Here is a 12,592-nt window from a genome sequence, read left to right as displayed (position 1 = left end):
CAGGCTGGTCTTAAACTCCTGGCCTCAAATTACCCACACGCCTTGGCCTCCCAAAATGCTGGAATTACAGGCGTGAGCCATTGCGCCCGAGAACTTGTTTTTTGTTGTTGTTGTTGTTTTGTTTTTTTTTTCTGGTGGAGTCTTACTCTGGGGCACAGTGGCGCAATCTTGGCTCACTGCAGCCTCTGCCTCTCTGGTTCAAGTGATTCTCCTGCCTCAGCCTCCCAAGTAGCTGGGACTACAGGCGCGCACCACCACGCCTGGCTAAGTTTTGTATTTTTAGTAGAGATGGGGTTTCACCATGTTAGGCTGGTCTCGACCTCCTGACCTCGTGATCTGCCCGCCTTGGCCTCCCAAAGTGCTGGGATTACAGGTGTGAGCCACTGCGCTCGGCCCCTGGGAACTTGTTTTAAACATGTCTGCCAGGCTGTGTGGTGGTCACTCAGGGTCTCTGGGCTCACCCATGTGTGCCTGGTTACTGGAGCTGGCATTGCTCTCACCAGTGTGCCTTGGTACTGATTTATTTCTGAGGATGTTTGCCTGGTTGTTTTGGTCTTTAGAAAAGAATTTCAAGGTGGCTGGGCACAGTGGCTCATGCCTATAATCCCAGCACTTTGGGAGGCTGAGATGTCAGGAGATTGAGACCATCCTGGGTAACACGATGAAGCCCCATCTCTACTAAAAATAGGAAAAAGTGATCCTTCTGCTTTGGCCTGCCAATATGTTGAGATTGCAAGTGTGAGCCACTGTGCCAAGCCTTTTGTGAAATTATTTTATTATTTTTAAATTATTATTTTTTTTTTTGGAGATGGAATCTTCCTCTGTTGCCCAGGCTGGAGTGCAGTGGCACAATCTTGGGTCACTGCAACCTCAGCCTTCTGGGTTCAAGGGATTCTCCTGACTCGGCCTCCCAAGTAGCTGGGACCACAGGTGCACGCCACCGCGCCCAGCTAACTTTTTGTATTTTTAGTAGAGATGGGGTTTCACTGTGTTAGCCAGGATGGTCTCAATCTCCTGACCTCATCATCCTCCCGCCTCGGCCTCCCAAAGTGCTGGGATTACAGGTGTGAGCCACCACGCCCAACCCTTTTTTTTTTTTTTTTTCGTATTTTTAGTAGAAACAGGGTTTCACCGTGTTAGCTAGGATGGTCTCAATCTGCTGACCTCGTGATCTGCCTGCCTCGGCCTCCCAAAGTGCTGGGATTACAGGCATGAGCCACCGTGCTCGGCCTCCTAAAAATGTTTTTAAAAAACTTAGCTGGTCATGGTGATGTGCACCTGCAGTCCCAGCCATCTGAGAGGCTGAGGGGGAGAATTCTGGAGTTCAGGAGGCAGAGTCTGCAGCGAGCTACGATTGCACCACTGCACACACTCCAGCCTGGGCAACAGAACCTGTTTCCAAAAATAAATGAAGGTATGCTACTGTGAATAGCTGTAGAATGTTGTTGTTTTGTTAGTTTCTTTTTTCTTTTTTTTTTTTTTCCTTTTTATAGATAGTTCTCACTCTGTTACTCACTGCAGCCTTGACCTCCTGGGCTCAAGAGATCCTCCTGCCTCAGCCTCCCAAGAGGCTGGGACCACACACATGTGCCACCACACCTGGCTGATTTTTAAATCTTTTGTAGAGACGGGGTGTCACCATGTTGCCTAGGCTGGTGTCAAACTCCTAGGCTCAAGCAATCTGCTGGCCTCAGCCTCCCAAAGTGCTGGGATTACAGGCATGAGCCACCGTGCCCAGGTAATTTTTAAATGAGATGAGGTCTTACTATGTTGCCCAGACTAAAATAGCCGTTTTATACTTAGAAAGAAGGATTACAGTACTAACATCTTTGTGCTAGGGAAATCCTGTAAGAAATCATTCTTGATAAAACTAAGGTTTCTTTCCTGTGGAACTCTCAGCTGCAATTTCATTATAACACAGGGACATGGAGGACTGCGTATGAGATGAAATGACAAACTGGTTTATAAACCTGTCGGTGGATTGTGTGTTCTGTCCTCATTGTATTGAATTGCTTGCTCTCTTTCTCAGTTAACTTACCAAGACTGGTTACACCTGGAGCTGGAAATTCAACCTGAAGCTGATGCTCTTTCAGATACTGAACGGTAAGTGTTGAAAAGAGCTACCCTGGCCAGGCATGATGGCTCACACCTATAATCCCAGCACTTTGGGAGGCTGAGGCAGGAGATCTCTTGAATCCAGGAGTTTGAGGTCAGCCTGGGCAACATGGGGAAACTCCATTTCTACAAAAAATAGAAAAGAAATTAGCCGGACATGCGGCACGTTCCAGTCATCACAGCCACTTGGGAAGCTGAGCAGGAGCATTGCTTGAGCCTGGGAGGTAGAGGCTGCAGCGAGCTGAGATCACACCACTGCACTTTAGCCTGTGCAACGGAGTGAGACCCTATCTCAAAAGAAAAAGGAGCTTCCCTTTAAAATGTTACACGGTTTTCCACATTGCCTTAAAGCCTATGTTTCGTCATTTTATCCTCAATTTAATGTTTGGTTTACCTGTTAATCTTTGAGCACAATTTCAATTTTTTTTTTTTCGGTGGCAAGATTTATTAAAGCAAAAGCGAAAGTAAAGCTTCCACGCGGTGGCAATTTCTGTTTTTCTTTTTTTTTTTTTTTTTCTGAGACAGAGTCTTGCTCTGTCACCCAGGCTGGAATGCAGTGGCGCGATCTCGGCTCACTGCAACCTCCACCTCCCGGGTTCACGCCATTCTCCTGGCTCAGCCTCCCGAGTAGCTGGGACTACAGGCGCCCGCCACCATACCCAGCTAATTTTTTGTATTTTTGGTAGAGACGGGGTTTCACCGTGTTAACCAGGGTGGTCTCAATCTCCTGACCTCGTGATCCACTTGCCTTGGCCTCCCAAAGTGCTGGCATTACAGGCGTGAGCCACCGCGCCTGGCCAGGTTGCCCAATTTCGGTTGTTATTCCTTTATTTAAGAAACATTTACTGAGCTCCTACCATGTGGCAGACAATTCTAGAGTGTTCTAGAAGCAGGGAGTATAGAGGGGAATAAACAAGCCTGCCCATATGGCACCTTTGTATCAATGAGGGCAGATGTGGCACGTATAAGGCACCCACTTAGACTTCACCCTACCCTGGCTGGGCTATGGCTGCTGTCCGGGAGCTGTACACCTGTGTCCAGGCCCTGGCAACACACAGGTAGATACAGAAGTGGATTAAAGGTAGGAATGAGCCCTGGAGATAACAGACAGGGCCGTGTGAGAGGAAATGACCAGGCAGGAGCAGAGGCTGGTGTGGAGCAGGTGGTGCAGACTTTGAGGAGTGATGCCAGCCTTGACTTGGGGGCACCAAGAAGTGGGTAAATGAAGCAGTGAACCCCCATGAGTCCCAGGGCTGATGACTGAGACCATTTGAGACTATTTGAGAGGCCAGATGTGCTGTTCTGGGCATAGGAGTAGGGAGCCCAGAGGACCGTTGGGTTTAAGGGTGTGGAGTTTAGGGTGGAGGTCAGGGAGAGGGGAATGTGGTCACTGCAGATATGGAGTATCCTGGTGGGTATATGGGCCTCAGGGTGCCTGCCACACCTAGACTCAGGAGAGGGTTGGCAACAGCCACCCTGTGCTCCTCGTCCTTCCGGCCATCAGGGGCCTTCCAGGCACATGCAGCACTGTCGCCTGCACCTGGATCCTGGTATCAGATTCTGGATGAAACCAATGGAAGTAATAGGAAAAGGAAAACATAGGGGCCACAAAAAGAAAACTCGCTGCTGCCTGCGGCAAAACACGTGCTGATGGTTCAGGTCGTGCCAAGCCCGCTCTGCAGGCGCTTCCTTCACTCACCCCCGTTTCTCCTCCCGGCTGCTCTCTGGGGTGGAGTCTAAGGAGGAGGTCAGAGGGAGGGGCTTGTCTGCTGCATGAGGTCATGCTGCATCAGGTCACCGCTGCGTGGAAGTTGTGTTGAGATGTGTTGCGGGATTTTCTTTCTTTTCTGAATTACTTAAGTGATACTTAGATACATTCTGTGCCAGTTCCAGACAGTGTGGGTGGAGCACCCCAGTTCCGGACAGCGTGGGTGGAGCACCCCGGTCCCGGACAGCGTGGGTGGAGCACCCCGGTCCCGCACAGCGTGGGTGGAGCACCCAGGTCCCGCACAGCGTGGGTGGAGCACCCCAGTCCCGGACAGTGTGAGGAGAGCACACACTCCCTAGCACTCACATTTGCAGGGTCGTGTGGAGCGTTTTCCTGGTTGTGGCTCTTTCTGCATAAATGGATTGCGGTATTGATGGTTCTGTGCACTGCGGATTTGTTTGTTTGTTTGAGACAGGGTCTCACTCTGTTGGCCAGGATGGAGTACAGTGATGCACTCACGGCTCACGGCAGCTTCCCTCTCCAGAGCTCGAGTGATCCTCCTGCCTCAGCCTCCTGAGTAGCTGGGACCACAGGTGGGCACTACTATGCCCAGCTAATTTTTTTATTTTTTGTAGGAATGGGGTCTCCCTTTGTTGCTCAGGCTGATGTCAGACTCCTGGGCTCAAGTGATCCTCCCACCTTGGCCTCCCACAGTGCTGGGATTACAGGTGTAGCCACTGCAGTTTTGAGTCAGTGTCTCCTTGAGCCCCTTCCCATCCGTATCCACAGAGTCCACAGTCTGGATGCAGGTTGCTTCACCATCCCCTTCTGGTGGGCCTGTGAGTAGCTCAGGTGCCCTCAGGTGACTTTCCAGGCTACTTTTTTTTTTTTTTTTTTTTTTTTTTTTTTTAGACGGAGTCTCGCTCTGTTGCCCAAGCAGGAGTGCAGTGGCATGATCTCAGCTCACTGCAAGCTCCACCTCCCAGGTTCATACCATTCTCCTGCCTCAGCCTCCTGAGTAGCTGGGACTACAGGCGCCCACCACCACGCCCGGCTAATTTTTTGTATTTTGAGTAGAGACGAGGTTTCACCGTGTTACCCAGGATGGTCTCGATCTCCTAACCTCGTGATCCGCCCGCCTGAGCCTCCCAAAGTGCTGGGATTACAGGCATGAGCCACTGCACCTGCCCCAGCCTACATTTTTGTGCTTGCCTATTCTGTTCACCAAGCTCATGTGCTGTGTGGCCAGCAGTTACCCCGTGGGATGTCATCCTGAGTGGCCTTTGATCCGTGGAAGGTGGGGTCACAAAGGTCACTCCTGAGACCAGGCCTTTCCCACATCCCCAGGCATCCCACCCTGCAGACAGTGAGGTCTCATCCCTACTCCAAGGTCCCGAGCCGCCAGTCTCAACCCAGCTCTCACTAGTGCTGTGTGTCCCTTACTATGGGCCTATTCCCTGGTTATGGGGAACCGCTGGCCACGAAGCATTTCTCAGAATTGATAGCAGTGTTTGCTGTTCTAGGCAGGACTTCCACCAGTGGGCGATCCATGAGCACTTTCTCCCTGAGTCCTCGGCTTCAGGGGGCTGTGACGGAGACCTGCAGGCTGCGTGTACCATTCTTGTCAACGCACTGATGGATTTCCACCAAAGGTTAGCAGCACACACTGTATTAGGGTTCTCTGGAGGGACAGGACTAATAGGATATATATAAAGGGGAGTTTCTGGCCATGCTGGTGCCCATCTAATTAGCTTAGGGTGGGTCTGCCTTTCCCAGCCTATACCCAAATGTCAGTCTCCTTTGGCAACACCCTCACAGACACACTCAGGATCAATGCTTTGCATCCTTCAGTCCAGTCACGTTGACACTCAGTATTAACCATCACACACCGATGAGGCCTTACTTTTAATCATGGTAGTTCTAAGAATGCATTTTTCTCTCAGTCCAATTTTGGTATGCAAAGTACACTTGAGCCTATCACATAGCAAATCTATGTCAATACAAAATAAAGCCAAGCTTCCTGCATCGGTTGTTTCTTTATGTGTATAGACTTGTCAGAAGCGACAACTTCGGGCTGGGCGTGGTGGCTCACACCTGTAATCCCAGCACTTCGGGAGGCTGAGGTGGGTGGATTACCTCAGGTCAGGAGTTAGAGACCAGCCTGGCCTACATGGTGAAACCTCCCTCTCTACTAAAAATACAAAAATTAGCTGAGTGTGGTGGCGGGTGCCTGTAATCCCAGCTACTTGGGAGGCTGAGGCAGGAGGATTGCTTGAACCTGGGAGGCAGAGGTTGCAGTGAGCCGACTGGGCGACAGAGCAAGACTCTGTCTCAAAAAAAAGATAAAAATAGCAACAACGTTGTTTTTCTGTTCTGTCACCTGGTATTCAAGGTGAGCATGTGTGAAGCACGGCACAAATGGCCTAGTAGATCCTGGGCATCACAGCCTCTCTCCATCTGAGAGGGATTCTCAGGACAGAGCAGTTCCTGAGGTGTTGCATGTGGGCCAGAAGGATGGACGGAGTGTACCTGGGGCTGTCCAGGCTTTGTCCCCAGGGGCTCTTGTTTGCAGCTTCACACTGTTGTGTTACAGCTGCAGCATTCAGTACAGATGGCAAGTGTGTATGCAGCTTCCCCCCATGTCTCCTGCCTGCGGCAACCACGAATCCATTTTATGTTCATGGATTTGCCTGTTTGGGATGTTTAATATCAACAGAATCATGTAGTATGTGGCCCTTTGTGTCTGGCTTCTTTGGCTGAGCAGAATGTTTCTGAGGCTCATCTGTGTTGTAGCACATATCAGCATACCCTTCCTTCTTATGGCTGACTGATGCTCACAGAAGGTATGGAGGCTGACGCACCTCCATCGTGGGTGACTTCTTGTTAACCCTACTCCAAGAATGCCTCCTGAGATTTCCCATTTATCTGCTGTTACCTTAAATCCCACTCTTAGGTCAAAACAACCTTGAGGCTGGGCGCAGTGGCTCATGCCTGGAATCTCAGCACTGGGAGGCCAAGGCAGGCGGATCATCTGAGCTCAGGAGCTCGAGACCAGCCTGGTGAAACCGTCTAGACAAAAAAAAAAATTAGCCAGGCATGGTAGTGTGTGCCTATGGTCCCAGCTACTCGTGAGGCTGAGGTGGGATTGCATGAGCCGGGGAGGCAGAGGTTGCAATGAGCTGTGAAAACACCACTACATTCCAGCCTGTGTGACAGAGTGAGACTCCATCTCAAAACAAAAAAGCAAATCTTCCACCATAAATCCAGCGGTTAGATTCACAGAGCATTCTTGCCTTTCCCTGAGGGGTTGACTTCAATAGTCCTTCCCTGTGGTATAGAAGCCCTGCCTGGGGGTAACAGTGCAGGGATGCATCGTCTCTCTAGGCTGCCTGAGACATGGTTTCTGTCTGTAAGTCCTTAAACGTTTCTGTCTGAGAAACTGGATTATTCAGCCTCTCTTCAGCCTTCCAGCTTCCCCAGCCTTTATGGGTAGGTTTGCACAGAGCTGCTCACTGCGGAACAGAAAGATCAGCCATATTTTGTTTATCCATTCACTTTGTTTGTTTGTTTTTTGAGATAGTCTTACTTTGTCTTATTTATATTTATTTTGAAACTGGGTCTTTCTTTGTCACCCAGGCTGGGGTACAGTGACTGCAGCCCACTGCAGCCTCGACCTCCTGGGCTCAAGTGATCCTCCTGCTTCAGCCCCTCAAGTAGCTGGGACCACAGGCACCACCATACCTGGCAAATTTTTGTAGTTGTAGTAGAGATGGGGTTTCACCATGTTGGCCAGACTGGTCTTGAACTTCTGACCTCAGGTGATCTGCCCGCCTCGGCCTCCCAAAGTGCTGGGATTACAGGCGTGAACCTCTGCCAGGCCTGACTTGATGGTAGCCATCCTAGTGGGTATTAAGTGCTATTTGATAGTGGTTTCGATTTGCACTTCCCTAATGGGTAGTGATTTTGAACATCTTTCCATTTTCTTATTGGCCATTTTAGATTTTTTTTGGAGAAATCTGTTCACATCCTTAGCCCATTTGAAAACTGGGTCACATTCATGTACTGCATAAGAATGTTCTGGTTAACAACGAGCCACATATATGACAGTAATCCCACATAGCCATAATTTTTTGTACCTTTTTTTTAAACTGTGTTTTTACCGTACCTTTTCTATGTTTAGATACACAAATACTGTTGTGTTACAGTTGCGGCATGCAATACAGTTACATGCTATGCCGGTTTATAGCCTGGGAGCGGTGGGCCGTGCCATGTGGCCTAGGTGTGCGGGGGCTCTGGTCTGTTTCTGCGCGGTGGGCCGTGCCGTGTGGCCTAGGTGTGCGGGCGGCTCCGGTCTGTGTCTGTGCGGTGGGCCGTGCCGTGTGGCCTAGGTGTGCGGGGGGCTCTGGTCTGTGTCTGTGCTCTTGGATGTTCACGTGATGAAACCACCTAAAGATGTGTTTCTCAGAATGGATCCTTGTCATTGAGCAGTTCATGACTGTATTTGTCTTACTGAGTTGTATGAGTTCTTTATATATTTTAGATAAAGTTCTTATCAAATATATGATTTGTAAATATTTTTTCCCATTCTGTTAATTCTTTTTTCACTCTCTTGATAGTATCGTTTAATGCACAAAGGTTTTAAATTTTTATAAAGTCCAGATCATTTATTTTTAGTTTAGCTCTTTAGGATTTTGATTCATTTTGATGGATCAGAAAACATTTTGGGCCAGCCACGGTGGCTCACGCCTGTAATCCCAGCACTTTGGGAGGCTGAGGCGGGCAGATCACTTGATGTCAGGAGTTCGAGACCAGCCTGGCCAACATGGCGAAACTAAAAAAATACAAAAACTAGCCAGGCATGGTGGCAGGCGCCTGTAATCCCAGCTACTCGGGAGGCTGAGGCGGCAGGAGACTTGCTTGAACCTGGGAGGCGGAGGTTGCAATGAGCCCAGATTGTGCCACTGCACTCCAGCCTGGGCGACAGAGTGAGAGACTGTCTCAAAAAAAAAAAAAAAATTGTTGTGTGAGGTCATCCAGCTTTATTCTGTTGCTTGTGGCCATGCAGTTGTCCCAGCACCATTTGTTGAAAACACTTCTTTCCCCACTGAATGGTCTTGGCACCCTTGTCAAAAGTTAGATGGCTGCTCGTGTGAGGGTTTGTTTCTGGCTCTCATTGTGTTCCCTTGGTCTGTATGTCCATATGCACTGCGTCATTGGGATGAAGCTTTGTAGTAGGTTTTAAAATTGGGAAGTGTGAGGCCTCCAACTTGGTTCTTCTTTTTCAGGATGGTTTGGCTTTTCTAGGTGCTTTGTAGTTGTGTCTTAATTTTGGGATGAGCTTGTCAGTTTCGACAAAAGTAGCTGGGACCCTGATACGGACTGCATGTGGGGCAGTATTGCCATCTCAGTGATAGCGAGTCTTCTTTCCTTTTGAATCATTTGTTGCTAACGTATAGAAACACCAGTGATTCTTGTATATTCATTGGCTCTAGTCATTTATTAGTTCTAAGAGTGTTTTTGTATCGATTCCTTAGGGCTTTGTATATATAAGATCGTGTCTGGCCAGGCATGGTGGCTCATGCCTGTAATCCCAGCACTTTGGGAGGGTGAAGTGGGCGGATCATGAGGTCAGGAGTTGGAGACCAGCCTGGCCAACATGGTGAAACCCCATCTCTACTAAAAATACAAAAATTAGCCGGGCATCGTGGTGGGCTCCTGTAATCCGTTACTTGGGAGGCTGAGGCAGAAGAATCACTTGAACTCAGGAGGCAGAGGTTGCAGTGAGTTGAGATCATGCCACTGCAACTCCAGCCTGGGCGACAAGAGTGAAACTCAGTCTCAAAACAAAAAAACAAAAGAAAGATCATATAATATGTGAAGAGAGATAGTTTCACTTTTTCCTTTCCTATCTGGATGCTTTTTCTTTTTCTTGTTGAATTGCCCCGGCTTGAACTCCCCGGGCAGTGTTGTTTTTTTTGTTGTTGTTTTGTTTTGTTTTTTTTTTTCTGAGACGGAGTCTCGCTCTGTCACCCAGGCTGGAGTGCAGTGGTGCAATCTCGGCTTACCGAAACCTTCGCCTCTCAGGTTCAAGCGATTCTCCTGCCTCAGCCTCCCGAGTAGCTGGGATTACAGGCACCCGCCACCATGCCCAGCTAATTTTTGTTTGTTTGTTTTTGAGACAGAGTGTCGCTGTGTGTCCCAGGCTGGAGTACAGTGGCACTATCTCAGCTGTCTGCAACCTCCGCCTTCCAGGTTCAGGCAATTCTGCTGCCTCAGCCTCCCAATAGGTGGGATTACTGGCGTCCGCTAACACGCCCGTCTAATTTTTGTATTTTTAGTAGAGATAGGGTTTCGCCACATTGGCCAGGATGGTCTCGATCTCCTGACCTCAGATGATCTGCCTGCCTCGGCCTCCCAAAGTGCTGGGATTACAGGCGTGAGCCACCGTGTCTGTCCCCAGTGCAGTGTTGAGTAGAGGCAGCGACACTGTTCTGAGTGTAGAGAGGACATCCTTGTTGCCCCTGATCTTAGGAGAACAGCTTTCAGTCTTTCCTCATTAAATCTGACGTTTGCTGTGGGTTTTCATCCATGCCAGGCACTAGATTGAGAAGATTTCCTTTGTTCCTGGTTGATTGAGTGTTTTTATCACAAAAGGATGTCACATTTCGTCAAGTGCTTTTTCTACATCTATTGAGATAATCTTACGGTTTTTGCTTTTTATTTTATTGATAACTGCGTTATATTGGTTTGGGGATCTTAAGCTATCCTTGTGTAGGGACCAGCCCCGGAGGGTCGGTGGGTCTCTCCCTGTGTGCGGCGATGAGAGAGTGTAGAAATAAAGACACAAGACAGAGATAAGAGAAAAGGCAGCTGGGCCCGGGGGACCACTACCACCAATGCGCGGAGACCGGTAGTGGCCCCGAGTGTCGGGCTGCGCTGTTACTTATTGGATACAAGGCAGAAGGGGCAGGGTAAACAATGTGAGTCACCTCCAATGATAGGTAAGGTCACGTGGGTCACATGTCCACTGGACAGGGGGCCCGTCCCTGCCTGGCAGCTGAGGCAGAGAGGGAGAGGAGACAGAGAGAAAGACAGCTTACGCCATTATTTCTGCATATCAGGGACTATTAGTATTTTCACTAATTTGCTACTGCTATCTGGAAGGCAGAGCCAGGTGTACAGGATGGAACATGAAGGTGGACTAGGAGCATGACCACTGAAGCACAGCATCACAGGGAGACGGTGAGGCCTCCGGATAACTGCGGGCGAGTCTGACTGATGTCAGGCCCTCCACAAGAGGTGGAGGAGCAGAGTCTTCTCTAAACTCCCCGGGGGAAAGGGAGACTCCCTTTCCCGGTCTGCTAAGTAGTGGGTGTTGTTCCTTGACACCTTTTGCTACCGCTGGACCACGATCCGCTTGGTGACGGGCGTCTTCCCAGACGCTGGCATCACCGCTAGACCAAGGAGCCCTCTGGTGGCCCTGTCCGGGCACAACAGAAGGCTCGCACTCTTGTCTTCTGGTCACACCTCAGTATATCCCCTCAGCTCCTATCTCTGTATGGCCTGGTTTTTCCTAGGCTATGATTATTGAGTGAGGATTATCATAATATTGGAATAAAAAGTAATTGCTACCAACTAATGATTAATGATATTCATATGTAATCATATCTAAGATCTATATCTGGTATAACTATTCTTGTTTTATATTTTATTATACTGGAACAGCTCGTGTCCTCTGTCTCTTGCCTTGGTGCCTGGGTGGCTTGCCACCCACATCCTTGCATTCTTGGGATAAGCCTCCTTGGTCATGGTACATAATTTTTGTATTTCCTAGGTTGGGGTTGGTAGTATTTTGTGGCAGTTTTTGTTGTTTATTGTTGACTAATGTGAGGGTCACACTGTCAGAGAAGCACAGCCATCACTCAGCTCCGGAGGCAGGAGGAGAACTGGGAACTTCAGCACTATTAGGCGATACTGAGGAGGATTTTATTGTATTTTCATTTCAGCTCAAGGAGTTATGACCACTCAGAAAATTCTGATTTGGTCTTTGGTGGCCGCACAGGAAATGAGGATATTATTTCCAGATTGCAGGTGAGTTTGAGGGTGCCACAACTCAGTGCATTCACTTCATTTAAGCCGCGTGCTATTAAGATATTTATTGCCAGGCGCGGTGGCTCACGCCTGTAATCCCAGAACTTTGGGAGGCCGAGGCAGGCGGATCACACAGTCAGGAGATCGAGACCATGCTGGCTAACACGATGAGACCCCGTCTCTACTAAAAATACAAAAATTTAGCCGGGCGTGGTGGCGGGCACCTGTAGCCCCACCTACTCGGGAGGCTGAGGCAGGAGAATGGCATGAACCCAGGAGGCGGAGCTTGCAGTGAGCCGAGATTGTGCCACTGCACTCCAGCCTGGGCGGGCGACAGAGTGAGACTCCGTCTCAAAAAAAAAAAAAAGATATTTATTGTTGGCTCAGGCTTGTAATCCCAGTACTTTGGGAGTCCGAGGCTGGTGGATCACCTGAAGTCTATACAGGTAGGCAGCATGTACCTGTGTGGGTTCACTGTCAGTCAACAGGCATTTACTGGTGCTGGCCACCCGTGCGTCTTCTGTGCCAGGCCCCTGTCTCTCCCTCCGCCAGCTCTGGGGCCTCCCAACTCCTTAGCCAGATGCTTTCCCTAGACCCACCTGGCTCCTTCTCAGTGAGACCATCTGCTTTTTCCTCTTAATTGTAATCATAATTATTATTATTATTGGGACAGGGTCT

At 49.3% G+C, this 12,592-nt stretch overlaps 1 protein-coding gene across 2 annotated transcripts in view; it reads left to right on the top strand.

Annotated features, from left to right (window-relative positions):
• Nucleotides 1-12,592, top strand: part of FANCA (FA complementation group A) — a 79,099-nt gene that overhangs the window by 52,596 nt on the left and 13,911 nt on the right. For both annotated transcript variants that reach the window (NM_000135.4, NM_001286167.3), the window contains exons 29-31: nt 2,030-2,103; nt 5,347-5,475; nt 11,830-11,914. In NM_000135.4, coding sequence (NP_000126.2) covers nt 2,030-2,103; nt 5,347-5,475; nt 11,830-11,914 — 288 coding nt within the window. The remainder of the gene's footprint in view (nt 1-2,029; nt 2,104-5,346; nt 5,476-11,829; nt 11,915-12,592) is intronic.

Source organism: Homo sapiens, chromosome 16 (genome assembly GCF_000001405.40).
Source record: "Homo sapiens chromosome 16, GRCh38.p14 Primary Assembly".
NCBI classification, from domain to species: Eukaryota; Metazoa; Chordata; class Mammalia; order Primates; family Hominidae; genus Homo; species Homo sapiens.
This window is presented reverse-complemented; position numbering and strand designations above follow the sequence as displayed.